This window comes from Homo sapiens, chromosome 14 (assembly GCF_000001405.40).
Source record: "Homo sapiens chromosome 14, GRCh38.p14 Primary Assembly".
NCBI classification, from domain to species: Eukaryota; Metazoa; Chordata; class Mammalia; order Primates; family Hominidae; genus Homo; species Homo sapiens.
The window spans coordinates 52645928-52658989 of NC_000014.9; the positions used below are offsets into that span (position 1 = coordinate 52645928).

Below are 13062 nucleotides of genomic sequence, written 5' to 3' on the forward strand. Positions count from 1 at the left end.
TGGGAGGCTAAGTTGGGAGAATCGCTTGAACCCAGAAGGTGGAGGTCGCAGTGAGCCGAGATCACGCCACTGCACTCCAGCCTGGGCTACAGACCAAAACTCCGTCTCAAAAATAAATAAACAAATAAAATAAAAAGGATATTCCTTACCCAGTTTTTTCTGAGAGCATATATGTTGCATTAGACTTACTTGGCTACCAGAAGCATTTCAGTACATTCAAACTAACCTTCCAAATGCGTTGAATAATGATACTATTTCTTGTCTGGTTAGATGGAATTCATAACTAGGTCCACTTTCTGGCATATTTGCTATCAATTTCTCAGAAAATAAGATCTTCAGAGCAGTGCCCAAACCCTGAGTCTGTAATAGAAATAAGGAAAAAAGAAAAATTAGAAAATTATTCATGCAAAGGGTAAATGAGAAATAGGAATGACTAAATTTGCTTACCTGAAGCTTTCCCCACAGACGACATTTAAAACAACCAACACAATCCATAATTCTTGAAATATTTCTAAAATGCAGTCGAAAGTCCTCCTGAAAACAATTTAACAAGATTTTATTAAGATGTAATATACAGTCAATTAGTAAGTATTTTCTGAGCAGGTTCTATGTGCCTAACACTGTGCAAGGTACTATGGGGTACCAAAAATGAGAACAGCACTAATATTCATTGATTCTACATACCAGATCCTTACATACACAATCTCATTTAATCTTCACCACAAATCCAAAGGTAGTTATTATTATAATCTACACCTAATGAATGTAAAAAACAAGATTCAGAGTGTTTAGGTAACTTGCCTAAATTCCCACATCTAGTAAACAAAAAACTTAGAAACCAGGCCTGTCTGACTCCAAAGCTAAACTATCTGCAAAAATATACAAAATAACTTTGTCAAGGTGTCCATTGTAGGTGATTAACTATATGTCAATAGGTGGAGAAAGGAGGGTGAGACAGGGTTAGAGAGCATCATTTACCAGAAGGAATGGAGGGAGGGAATGAGAGAAGGCAGGAATGGAAAGGAAAAAAAAAATCCTTTGGTTTCTTTTTTTTTTTTTTTTTTTTTTTTTGAGAGTATCGCCCTGTCACCCAAGCTGGAGTGCAGTGGGGGAATCTCGCTCACTGCAAGCTCTGCCTCCCAGGTTCACACCATTCTCCTGCCTCAGCGTCCTGAGTAGCCGGGACTACAGGCACCTGCCACCACGCCCAGCTAATTTTTTTTTTTTTTTTTTTTTTTTTTTTTTTTTTTTTTTAGTAGAGGCAGGGTTTCACCATGTTAGCCAGGATGGTCTCGATCTCCTGACCTCGTGATCCGCCCACCTCGACCTCCCAAAGTGCTGGGATTACAGGCGTGAGCCACTGTGCCCAGCCCTTTGGTTTCATAATAATTCAACCACAGCCCTTCTTTCTGGTATGAATAAGGTAAACAATCAGGTCTTCCTTTGTTAATATTAAATTACTATTACTATTAAAATGCAAAAATATATAAAATATAGTGAATGCCACATACCCACTACCAAGTTTTAGAAAAATTTGTCACAAGTACAATCGAAGCCCCTCATGTTATCTCTCGAGTCCCATATCCCACCCTCTACTACTATATTGAATTTGGCATTGTTCCCTTTTTGTTTTTATGCTTTTAATACATATGTATACATCCATGAACCCTAGAATATTATATCATTTATAATAGGGCGACATGCATCCAGCTAATCTAAACATAGTATATGTCCTTAAGGAATATGGAAAAAAGAAGGGAAGCCAAGAACACATCCTTCTTTTCCTTCAATGGAAATTACCAACTGATCCTCCAAGAGACTCCTGTACTGGACTAAGAGGGGAATCTCAAGCTTACAGTATTCTTAGCAGGAAATCTGACATACATCTCAGATAGAACATCCATTATACAAATTGGCCTATAATTTAGGGAGCACACAGTATTTCTCTTATTCTAATGTGATAAACCACACACTAGGCTCAACCAGATGAAGGCAGGACCACAAATCTAAAATAGGAATAAATCAATGATTGGAACCCACTATTCAAAGGAAACCTCAATTTGCTCTGGAGACAGACTTTCCCAACATGCTTTATTCAGTTTGTGACTTTCAAACAGCTGTAACATGAAAGAAAGTTTTAATAGGATCTAAGATGTAATATCTTTATTAATTAAGACAAAGCCCAAATTGTTCATTGTTACCATATCTTAATAATATTCTCTATCTTGGTTTCAGTACCTGTACAGTAAGAGGTACTATTTTTTTTTTATTTTTATGACCACATGACATCCAAGCAACAGGTACTAATTTTAAACCTACTTAAAACTAACCGGTAATATTACTCTACAAAGATTCTGTGATCTGATTTTAGGTTGCCTTTAAACTAGAGCATTGACCAAAACTTAAAGAAAAATCACACTTTTAACAATAATAACAGAGTAAGAAAGTTACCCTAAAGAACATGTTCCCATCCTATGAGCTGTTGACTTCCAGAAGACTTAATGGTTATTATGAGGATCCACAGAATCCACATAGAGACAAGACTATATACCACAGAATAAATAGCTCACATATATGCACTATAAATTTCCAAATGGATAGAAATGTTATGATCAATAAAACACAACTTTTACTTTTAAAGTGTTACTAAATGCATGGTGGCTTTTTGGCAATCATATTTTCAAAATCAACAGATACTAAAAATACTCTGTCATGAGAAGAGGCCTTGAAAGTTCCTGAGTATAAGAGACTCCCATACTTGTGAGAGTTGGAAGCCTCTGTTCTAAAAGACTGTGCTTGCTTTTGTAGACGCTAATTTCAATGTTTGCTTCTACGTTAATTCAAATACTTGAATGTGACAGCTCTTGAGTAAGTCTTTGTATGACATGTACAGAGAGCAGGCATGGCTGCTTACAATAGCCAAATAAACATTGTAAAATTAAAACCAAGCACATCAAATAGCATGCATCTTCTGCTTAAGTGAACTTAATATGCTAGGACCAAATTAATAGGCTAGAAATTTACTAGATCAAATTAGTAAAAATTAGTAAGGATTTCACAGGAGAAAATCCTTGTGACTTAACAAATAACAATTATGTACAATAACCTGAGTATATCCCCTAATTATCTCAGGTTAGAAAAAGGTATGGTCCTTAAAATAACCAGTACCTAAATCACTTACAGATTTTCCTTGTTTAGACATACAGTTTTAGGTCATCACTTTAAATTACAGCCAGTCAATAGAATGATCAAGCATGCTGTGATTTATATTCAGTGAAACCAACTGACCAATTCTTGCCCAAATTCTCAAATACTTTACAAGTCTTCAAATGAGATCGTATTCTATTTGAATTGAATGCTAAATAATTCTCCTTCATACAAGTCCTCTATTTCTAACCATACATTGATAGGGTACTAAGGAAACAAGATGAGATTTTTAAAATTAATTTGTAAATATGACTGTTTAAATCGATGTTTACCAGAAACTGCTTTTTAAAAAAGTAAATCTTTGATAGTAGCATGTTTTGTTTTTTACATCTTTCCTGTAAAAGATTCAGAAAAATTCTGTTACATCAAGACTCTCTACCTAAACTTCATAGGACATTAAAGGTGAGTGTTTCCGAGTTTTGATCAAATTAAAACATTGTGAGAAATCTTTCTAATCTGCATGATTTAAAAAGAGCTGATGCCAGAACACTTTCCAATAAAGCAGCAAGTAAACTAAAAAAAAAAAGGAACATATTGAAAATAGTAGGAAAAAAAGAAGTCTTATTACAGCATCTTCCCCCTCACTTTCTAGTTCCTGGAAGCTGTTTAGGCAGATTATATAAGCACTGAGGTATGTATTTGTAGCAAGAATGCTTCAAGTAGGAGGTAGATGGGAAGTCAAGAATAAGTATTATCTAACAGCAAAAAAACTGAGTGCATAAAATCAGGTTCTTTCATTACAGAAAGAAAGAATGAAAAGCAGAGGAAGATTTTTGTAAATATTTTGATGAAATCAGGCTGGGTATGGTGGTGGCTCACACCTGTACTCCCAGCACTTTTCGGAGGCCAAGACAGGCAGATTGCTTGAGGCCAAGAATTCAAGACCAGCCTGGGCAACATAGTGAGACCCCAACTCAACAAAAAAATTTTAAAAGTTAGCAGGGCATAGTGGTGCCAGCCTGTAGTCCTAGCTACTCAGGAGGCTGAGGTGGGAAGATGGCTTGAACCCAGGAGTTCCAGGCTGCAGTGAGCTATGATTATGCCTCTGCACTTCAACTCTGGTGATAAAATAAGACTTTATCTCTTAAAAAAACAAAAATATATATACAATATGTATGAAATCAGACATATTTGTATAGAAATCTACCTATACATATCTACCATATCTAGTATCTATCTATATCTAGTATCTTTATTAAGACAAAGCCCAAATTATTGTTAATTGTTACCATATCTTAACAATATTCTCTATCTTGTGTTTCAGTACCTGTTCAGTAAGAGGTACTAACTTTATTTTTACTATTTTTCTATGACCAGATGACATCCAGGCAAGAGGTACTAATTTTAAACCTACTTAAAAAAAAAAAAACTACTCAATAATATTACTCTACAAAGATTCTGTGATATATATATATGATTTCATATGTACATATATATAATTTCATGTGTGTGTGTATATATATGTATGTATATATAAAATCAGATCAAACCCAGTAGTATGGAGGTCCACCTGCCTTTACTTACCAGTGGAACTTTGTAAGAGAGAAGAGAAATATAATTTTACTTGACCCCCTCTGGAAATCCCTTGAGGGTGGAAGCTCTCTTTCCTTTTAATGACAAAAAATCGTGCTGTGCACATAATGAGTGTGTAATAAATCTTCCTGGTAATGTTTGATATTTATAGTATTATGAGGCAAATACATACTCAGAGATGGTCTTGCCTGAGGTCAGACCCTATTAAGAGGCAAGGCAATGACCAGACCGCATTCCGTGGGGTATGGAATCTGTTCTTTCCCCAGCTGCACGCTGGTATTCATAACTGTCTTTAATTCCCAGTGAATAAGATGAACGGCAGGGGGTGCAATGGCTCACGCCTGTAATCCCAGCACTTTGGAAGGCTGAGGTGGGAGGACCGCTTGAGCCCAGGAGTTTGAGACCAGCCTGGGCAACATAGCAAAACCCTGTTTCTACCAAAAAAAAAAAAAAAAAAAAAAGTTAGACAGGCATGGTGATATGTGCCTGTGGTCCCAGCTACTCAAGCTACTCAGAAAGCTGAGGTGGGAGGATCGCTTGAGCACAGAATTTCAAGGTAGCAATGAGCCGTGATTGTATCACTGCACTCCAGCCTGGGTGACAGAGTGAGATCCCTTCTCAATAATAATAAAAAAAGATGAATGACAAAACATCACACTGTGCCTTCTCCCACTAATGAAGATCTTTTAATTAAACAATATCATCTTCAGAATTCTCTTCAGCAAAAGATAGACTAATACGCTACTCATGCATTGGATCCATTTCCTTTATTACCTCTATTTATTATATGAGATCATCAATGTGAAAGGCATCTAGAAAGTGTACGGCAATATACAGATATCAGTGTTACTTTGAATATAATGCAAAATAGACTTTAAGTGGCACCTGCCTTTGGACTTGATTTTTTTGAGGAAAAGAAAGATTATGACTCTGATTTTTTCTTAATTTCAAGATGTATATCAAGATATACTGTTAAGTATATATACATGTGTTTATGTTTTAATTGACAAAAATTGTATATGTTTATGGATACAATGTGATGTTTTAATGTATATTTACAATATGAAGTGATTAAATCAGGCTAATTAACAAATCCATCACCTCACATACTTAACCATTTTTTGTATAGTGGAAACCTTAAAATCTACACTTTTGGCAATTTTGCAATATATAATGCATTATTACCATAGTTACCATTCTGTGCAGTAGATCACTAAATCTTATTCTCCCTAACTGAAACTTTGTACCCATGGATCAACATCTCCGTTTTCCCCATCCACTCCCCACCCCCAGCCTGTGGTAACCATCATTCTACTCTCTACTTTTTTTTTTTTTTTTTTTAATTAAAGACAGGGTTTCACACGATGTTGCCCAAGCTGGTCTTGAACTCCAGGGCTCAAGCAATCCTCCCACCTCAGCCTCCCAAAGTGCTGGAATTACAGGCCTGAGCCACTGCCCCTGGCCTACTCTCTACTTCTATGGCCTACTCTCTACTTCTATGAGTACTATATATTCATATCTGCATAAGTGTTAATCAGTTTGTATCTAACAGTTAAGTATAAAGTAATTACCTTTAGTTTGTGTGCTTCTTTTTTATCCCCAGCAAAAAATGAATTCTCATCAAAATGCAAAGGAAATGACCTGCGTTTTAAAACAGAGAATATTCATTTTCATGTGTTATAAATATTAAAAGTCCTGCTAATACAACATTTTACTGGTCATGATAAATAAAGAGGAGAAAACATAGTAAAACCAACACTCCGATGCCCCAAATCAAATTCTTATCCTCAAACCTCAAATCTTGATTCTAACTGCGTAATACAGAAATTTGACCCCAAATCCAATTTGTTCAAATAAACATGAAAATAATACATTATCAAATACTAAAAGAATGGCTCTTAAAACTAAAAATGTGTGCCTCTCAGTACCCAAATCAAAATAAAAACAAAAGCAAAATTCAATCTGAAAAGACCTACAAGCAAAATTAACTTTTAATTATGTTCTAAATAGTTTTCCTTTCTCTAAATGAATATTAAAAATTTCAGGCAGAGCACAGTGGCCTGCACCTGTAATCCCAGCACTTTGGGAGGCCAAGGTGGGTGGATCAATCACTTAAGCCCAGGAGTTCGAGACCAGCCTGGACAACATGGCAAAACCCCATCTCTACAAAAAATACAAAAATTAGCCCGGTGTGGTGGTTTGCACATATAGTCCCAGCTTCTTGGGCTGAGATGGGAGGACTGCTTGAGCCCAGGAAATCAAGGCTGCAGTGAGCCATGACCGTGCCACTGCACTCCAGCCTGGGCAACAGAGGGAGAGCCTGTCTCAAAAAAAAAAAAATTTATCTTGTACATTAATTGTCACTCTTCTATTAATGTATAAAGTTTAATATATAATTTACTTGATTTCATGAAGTATTTCCAGAAGTAACATTTTGTTTTCCTCATCCTGAATTTTATTTCCAGTAAAGAGTTGAAAATCTGGGCGCTCGAAGAATGGTAACACTTTGGATAAAGCCCTTAGTTCTATTAAGTAGAGAAAATACAAGTTCTTAAGCCTTCTTGGACCTTCTCCTTCAGTCAAAATTCCATCAAATCGCTGTTGAAATTCTGTAATGTTGTGTCCCCATTTCTTTTCTAACCAGGTCTCTAAGAAGGAAGAAGAATTAAATATTAAAAACTGAATTTGACAATTTTTACTTTAATTATATTAGGTTATTCATGCCTATAGAAGTTAATTTCATTTTGCATTTTAAGTTATATAATAACAACCAAGAAAATGGTTTTTCACAATTTAGCCTTTAATAGTTTTATATTAATATTTTATTTTCTAGAACCCATCCTTAAAACAAATTCAATGTTTTACTGAGAAAGCAAGTCTTATTAATAATAAAAATCATTCTTAATTTTTGCAGGTGCATAGTATCTGCTTATATTGATGCCATATATGGCATCTTTTGATACAGGCATATAATTTATGTATTAATCACATCAGGGCAAATGAAATTTCTATCAACTCTACACTTTTAGTTACTTTAAAATGTACAATTAAGTTGCTATTGATTATAGGGTCATTTTTATGGGTATAATAAAAATTATTTATAAATATAAATAAAATCCTGAGTCTTAAAATTCTGAGTTCTGCTTAAACATTTAAAAAAATTTGTTATGTATTTTTCTTTGAACATGTGGTCTCTCTGCCTGCAAACATACAGAATTTTAGTTCTGATTTACATAGAGTTAGCTATGCACATATATTACTCTAAAAATAGACCTTAGGTGCAAGAAAATTATAGAGTAAGTGTGTTTGGGTGAGTATGAGTTTATACCTGTTTTCAGAAGAATAGAGCAATATTGGAACAAAACAAATATCTTAATAAGGTGACAAATTTACTAGAAAACTGAAAACCTCAAAAATGCTGAAAGCAAATCTATACTCTGCTTTTTATTAAATTCATTACTGTAAAATCTTCTGACTTATGATTCAGAATCTCCCCATGAACATTTTCTGTTTTTCTTTGCCTGGTTCTCATGCTAGACTTATAATTTTCTTGTCTCTTATAATTTTTTTCTTTTATAGTTTATGAGGTATTATGTGAGCTGGTCATGACTAATAAGAATGATTTTTATAAAATATAGTAGTGCACACAAAACAATTTTTAGATGTATTTCCAAAATTGTGTATTACATTTCATTTAATTAGGACATTCCATTTGTTCTTTTAATTAAAGAATTCTACATAAGCCTGTATTTTTTTTTACTTATTTTATTCTCATTATAATTGACATAAGTAAATTTATATGTTTATTGAGCCAATTTGTTCAGGTAAGAACTAGGGATGCTTCAGAAGTCATGAGGATGTTTTTTATATATAAATGTAGCAAACAAACACACAGTACTTGCTGTGTAACGGATGCTCCATGATAAGCCATAAATATTCCTGCTACAGTTAGTTTGTAAGTTCAAGTCAGAGAAGGAAAATATCAATAGTGAAGAAATAAGATTGATTCTTCATGTGGAGATAACATTTTTCCATGCTGCAAAGCTAAATCTTGCTGAATTTTAAGAGAAATTCTGTTTATTTCCTAGTTATCTTTAGTTTTGTTTGTCCTATTATGTGTCTTCTAACTGTGTATTCATCACAGCCCTTCTCCTTCTTTTTCTATGTGATGGCTACAGTTTTCTCACTGTTGTCTTCATGCCATGTCATTTTACATGGTACTTTGTAGGTTTTGATGAGAAAGTTGGTATTTATTTAATGCATTCAAAAATTGGTTTTAACTAGAGAGTTTGCTTATCAATATAACTTTCAAATCAGTTAAGATAAAAGGCAAACCTGTCCACAGGTGAGAGGATTAAGTAACTTAGCATTGTTTTTCTCTGTTTGTAAAAGGAAAATCTTATTAAATTCTTACACAGGCCAGGCGTGGTGGCTCACAACTGTAATCCCAGCACTTTGGGAGGCCGAGGCAGGTGGATCACGAGGTCAGGAGTTTGAGACCAGCCTTACCAACATGGTGAAACCCCACCTCTACTAAAAATACAAAAATCAGCCGGGCGTGGTGGCACATGCCTGTAATCCCAGTTACTCAGGAGGCTGAGGCAGGAGAATTGCTTGAATCCTGGAGGCAGATGTTGTAGTGAGCCAAGATTGCACCACTGCACTCCAGCCTGGGCGACAGAGCAAGACTCTGTCTCAAAAAAAAAAAAATTCTTACACAAAGTGTGACATCTATCTAATTTGCTAGAAAATATATCATAGAAATTAAAGTATTAGGAGAGTTAATGGTAAGTGAATAATTTTAAATTTAATGTTCTATGATACACTTACAGCACATGTTTCCATGTAGAATCTTTTATTTTTAAGTGTGAATGTTAAAGGCTGCAAAATAATAAAATGATCTCTGTGGATTTGAAATCTGGAATAATATTTCTTTTCCATATTGATATTACAACTCAGAGGAATTTCTCACTCTTATTTTATGTGATTTTTTTTTTTAGTGGGTGAAGGTGTCTACAGCTTATATTCTTAGTCACCTAACTGTAGTCAACTTCTTGGTCATTTTCTCTGGAAAAATTCTGAAGATCATGGCAACTTTTAGATTAAACCATTTTCTGGGTTTTTTTAATGCAAACTTGTTTATTGTGTTCACAAAGTGGCCAGTCATAAGACCATAAGCAACGCCTGCCCTTTCAGTGGCTTTCATACCATTACCATCTGTAATCAATAAATGTATATTTATTTTGTAAAACATAATGTTTGGAAGTATATATACATTGTTAAATGCTTAATTCTAGGTAATTACGCCACATAGTTAACATTTCTGTGGCAAGAGCAAGTGACATTGTCAGCATTTTTCAAAACTACAAATACATTATTTTGATCTATAGTCACTACGCTGTACAAAAATATCTCTTGAACTTCTATTAACTATAATTATGTATTTTTTGATCAACATCTTTTCAAACCCTCCTGTCTCCTAAATACCTTGGTGTCTGGTGGCCACCACTTTACTCTCTACTTCAATAAGATTAAGTTTTTTAGAATCCCTTTGTAAGTGAAATCATGAAATAATAATCTTTGTGTCTGGCTCATTTTGACAAATATAATGTCCTCCAAGTTCATTCATGTGATGGAAAATAATAAAATTTCCTTTTTTAAAGATGAAAAAAAATAATAGTCAAACTTCTGAATATAAACATATTCATAAAACCTAAACACACAATTTGAAAATGATGATCTAAAATTACTAATGAGTTTAGGCCAGGTGCAGTGGCTGAAGCCTGTAATCCCAGCACTTTGGGAGGCCAAGGCGGGTGGATCACCTGAGGTCAGGAATTCGAGACCAGCCTGGCCAACATGGTGAAACCCCGTCTCTACTAAAAATACAAAAAATTAGCTGGGTGTGGTGGCATGCACCTGTGGTCCCAGCTACTCAGGAGGCTGAGGCAGGAGAATCACTTGAACCCAGGAGGCAGAGGTCACAGTGAGCCAAGATCACACCACTGCACTCCAGCCTGGGTGACAGAACAAGACTCTGTCTCAAAAAAAAAAAAAAAAAAACAGTAAAATTACTAATGAGTTTAAACCGCCATTTAAAATCAAAGTTACGGCTAGGCACAGTAGCTCACGGCTATAATCCCAGTACTCTGGGAGGCCAAGATGGGCAAATCACTTGAGCTCAGGAGTTCAAGACCAGCCTGGGCAACATGGCCAAATCTTGTCTCTACAAAAAATATTGTGAAAAATTAGCTGGACATGGTGGCATGCTCCTGTAGTCATGAGGTAGAAGGTAGGACTTGGCTCAGGAGGTGGGACTCAGGACACTGGACCAAATTGAAAACTAGCTAAAACAGGGAGGGGGCTGAAGCAGCTTTCCATGAGGCACACCCACCAGGGTGCCATGTCAGTTTCTCATTCCCATGGCAACATGCAGAAGTTACCACCCCTTTCCATAGCAATGACCCAGAAGTTACTACCCTTTTCCTAGAAATTTCTGCATAATCTGCCTCATAATTTGCATATAATAAAAAGTGGACTATAAATATGGCTGCAGAACTGCCTCCAAGCTGCTACTCTGGGCACACTGCCTATGGGACAGCTCTCCTTCATGAGGAGAGGTTCAAACTTTTTCCTGGGCAAAGCCAAGTGCCCTCCCAGGCTAAGCCCCAGTTTTGGCCATCGCACACTAGAGTGGGCAATAGAGTGAGACCCTGTCTCAATCAATCAAGCAATCAATCAATGAATAAAATGGAAGTTTCTATATTTTGTTTCTCAGAGTGTGATACTTTAATTCCAGAAGAAATATGGTACTGATGAAAATCAACCACAGTCTCATTTTCAACAGTATTAAGGCATCAACAGCAGCAGGAAAGGCTTTTACCCATTTAAACTCCAGGCCTGATACGAGCACACAAATAAAAAGGTTCTGATACAACAATATCTATCAAATAGCAAACTGTGCTGTTAGGAACTATTTAAATTCCCACAAGAAAACAAGAATATTTCCAAAGTGATATGGACAATTTTGAGCAGCTTCTTAAAAGAAGGTGAAGAGAGCTAAGAGTATGTTAAACTGTTCAATTGTATCTACAGTTCCCACCTTTCTGATTACTACCATTTAAGAGTGAATTTTTACTGCCTAATATTCAATCAGGTCAATCTTTTCCCATTCAGGTAAATGCCAGGAAAATTTTAAGAATATCTAAAATTAAGAGTGGTAGACTGAATAAAAGTAAATGTCACATACCTTGTAAAAGATATCTTGCACTCAAATGCACATTAATGCTTGCATGTAGGCCAGATATAAGTCTGTAGAATGCTCTTTTTTCTACACAGAGACCTAAGAAAAAGCAGTGACTTAGAAATAAAATTTCATATGTGAATCTTGTAGACATAAAATTAATCTCATGAGAAAAAAACCATCATTGAAATTTATTTTAAAGTTTCTAATTACCTTCTAGCCAACTGTAAAAAGTGTTCTCTGAAATCAAAAGAAAAATAAGTCATAAGAATAGAAAAATGCCAAAATACAAGTTTTTCAAAAGTTTTAAAGCATTATAGCAAATTTGTGCCAAACAACAATGTAAAGATTATTTAACCTAACGGTCCAAGTCTTAATTGCAATTTCTCGAAAGGAAGAAGAAAGGTTATGGATTCAGTTAAGTACCAGCCTGCTGCTTGGTCTTTAAAAGGCTTTAGCATTGCCTTAGGTTGACCCAGTCTCATAACGTTCTGGTTAAAGTGTTTTACAGGAGGTCAAAATACAGAATTTAAATAGTAAATCAGTCAAGAATGGGAAAATACCTAGCCTTGATAACAATTCATGCCATGAAAACTAAGGATTCATTACATGCTTTTTAAACTAGAAAAAAATTAAAATGATAAGACAGTATTGGAGGGGTACTATTTGTATTTAGCTGATAATATTACATGCCATTCACTATTTCAAAAGAGCAATTCAGGAAAATGTTATAAACACCAAGTATCACTTATATTCTTATGACCTAATAAGATTATTGTCAATATATTTAATGCCTAGTAATTCTACAAATACGATAATGCCTAAATTAACATGATAGAACACTATCTAACTAGTGAACATGGTAAAATAACATACAACTATGAAAATAGCAAGAATGTAGAACATGGCAATACATAAAAATGTTTACTTGAAATATTATACAAAAGGCATAAGAAATAATCATACAACTCTGTAAAGATTCATGTATGCATTTGCTACAGAGATGATAAACACTGTACAGTGTTTTCTACTAAAGTTGCTTACAGTAATGTTAAAAATGAACCAAACAAGCATAAAAA

The 13062-nt window shown here is 34.9% G+C and overlaps 1 protein-coding gene across 14 annotated transcripts in view; it reads right to left on the reverse strand.

The window, feature by feature from the left end:
• ERO1A (endoplasmic reticulum oxidoreductase 1 alpha) overlaps positions 1-13062 on the reverse strand; it is a 55644-nt gene that overhangs the window by 6013 nt on the left and 36569 nt on the right. For 8 of the 14 annotated variants that reach the window (NM_001382474.1, NM_001382471.1, NM_001382475.1 and 5 more), the window contains 6 exons: positions 12197-12223; positions 11990-12082; positions 7142-7388; positions 6312-6381; positions 448-534; positions 227-360 (listed from right to left, as the gene is read on the reverse strand). In NM_001382474.1, the coding sequence (NP_001369403.1) occupies positions 227-360; positions 448-534; positions 6312-6381; positions 7142-7388; positions 11990-12082; positions 12197-12223 (658 nt within the window). The remainder of the gene's footprint in view (positions 1-226; positions 361-447; positions 535-6311; positions 6382-7141; positions 7389-11989; positions 12083-12196; positions 12224-13062) is intronic. The other 6 variants (NM_001382468.1, NM_001382467.1, NM_001382470.1 and 3 more) reach the window with 5 other exon arrangements.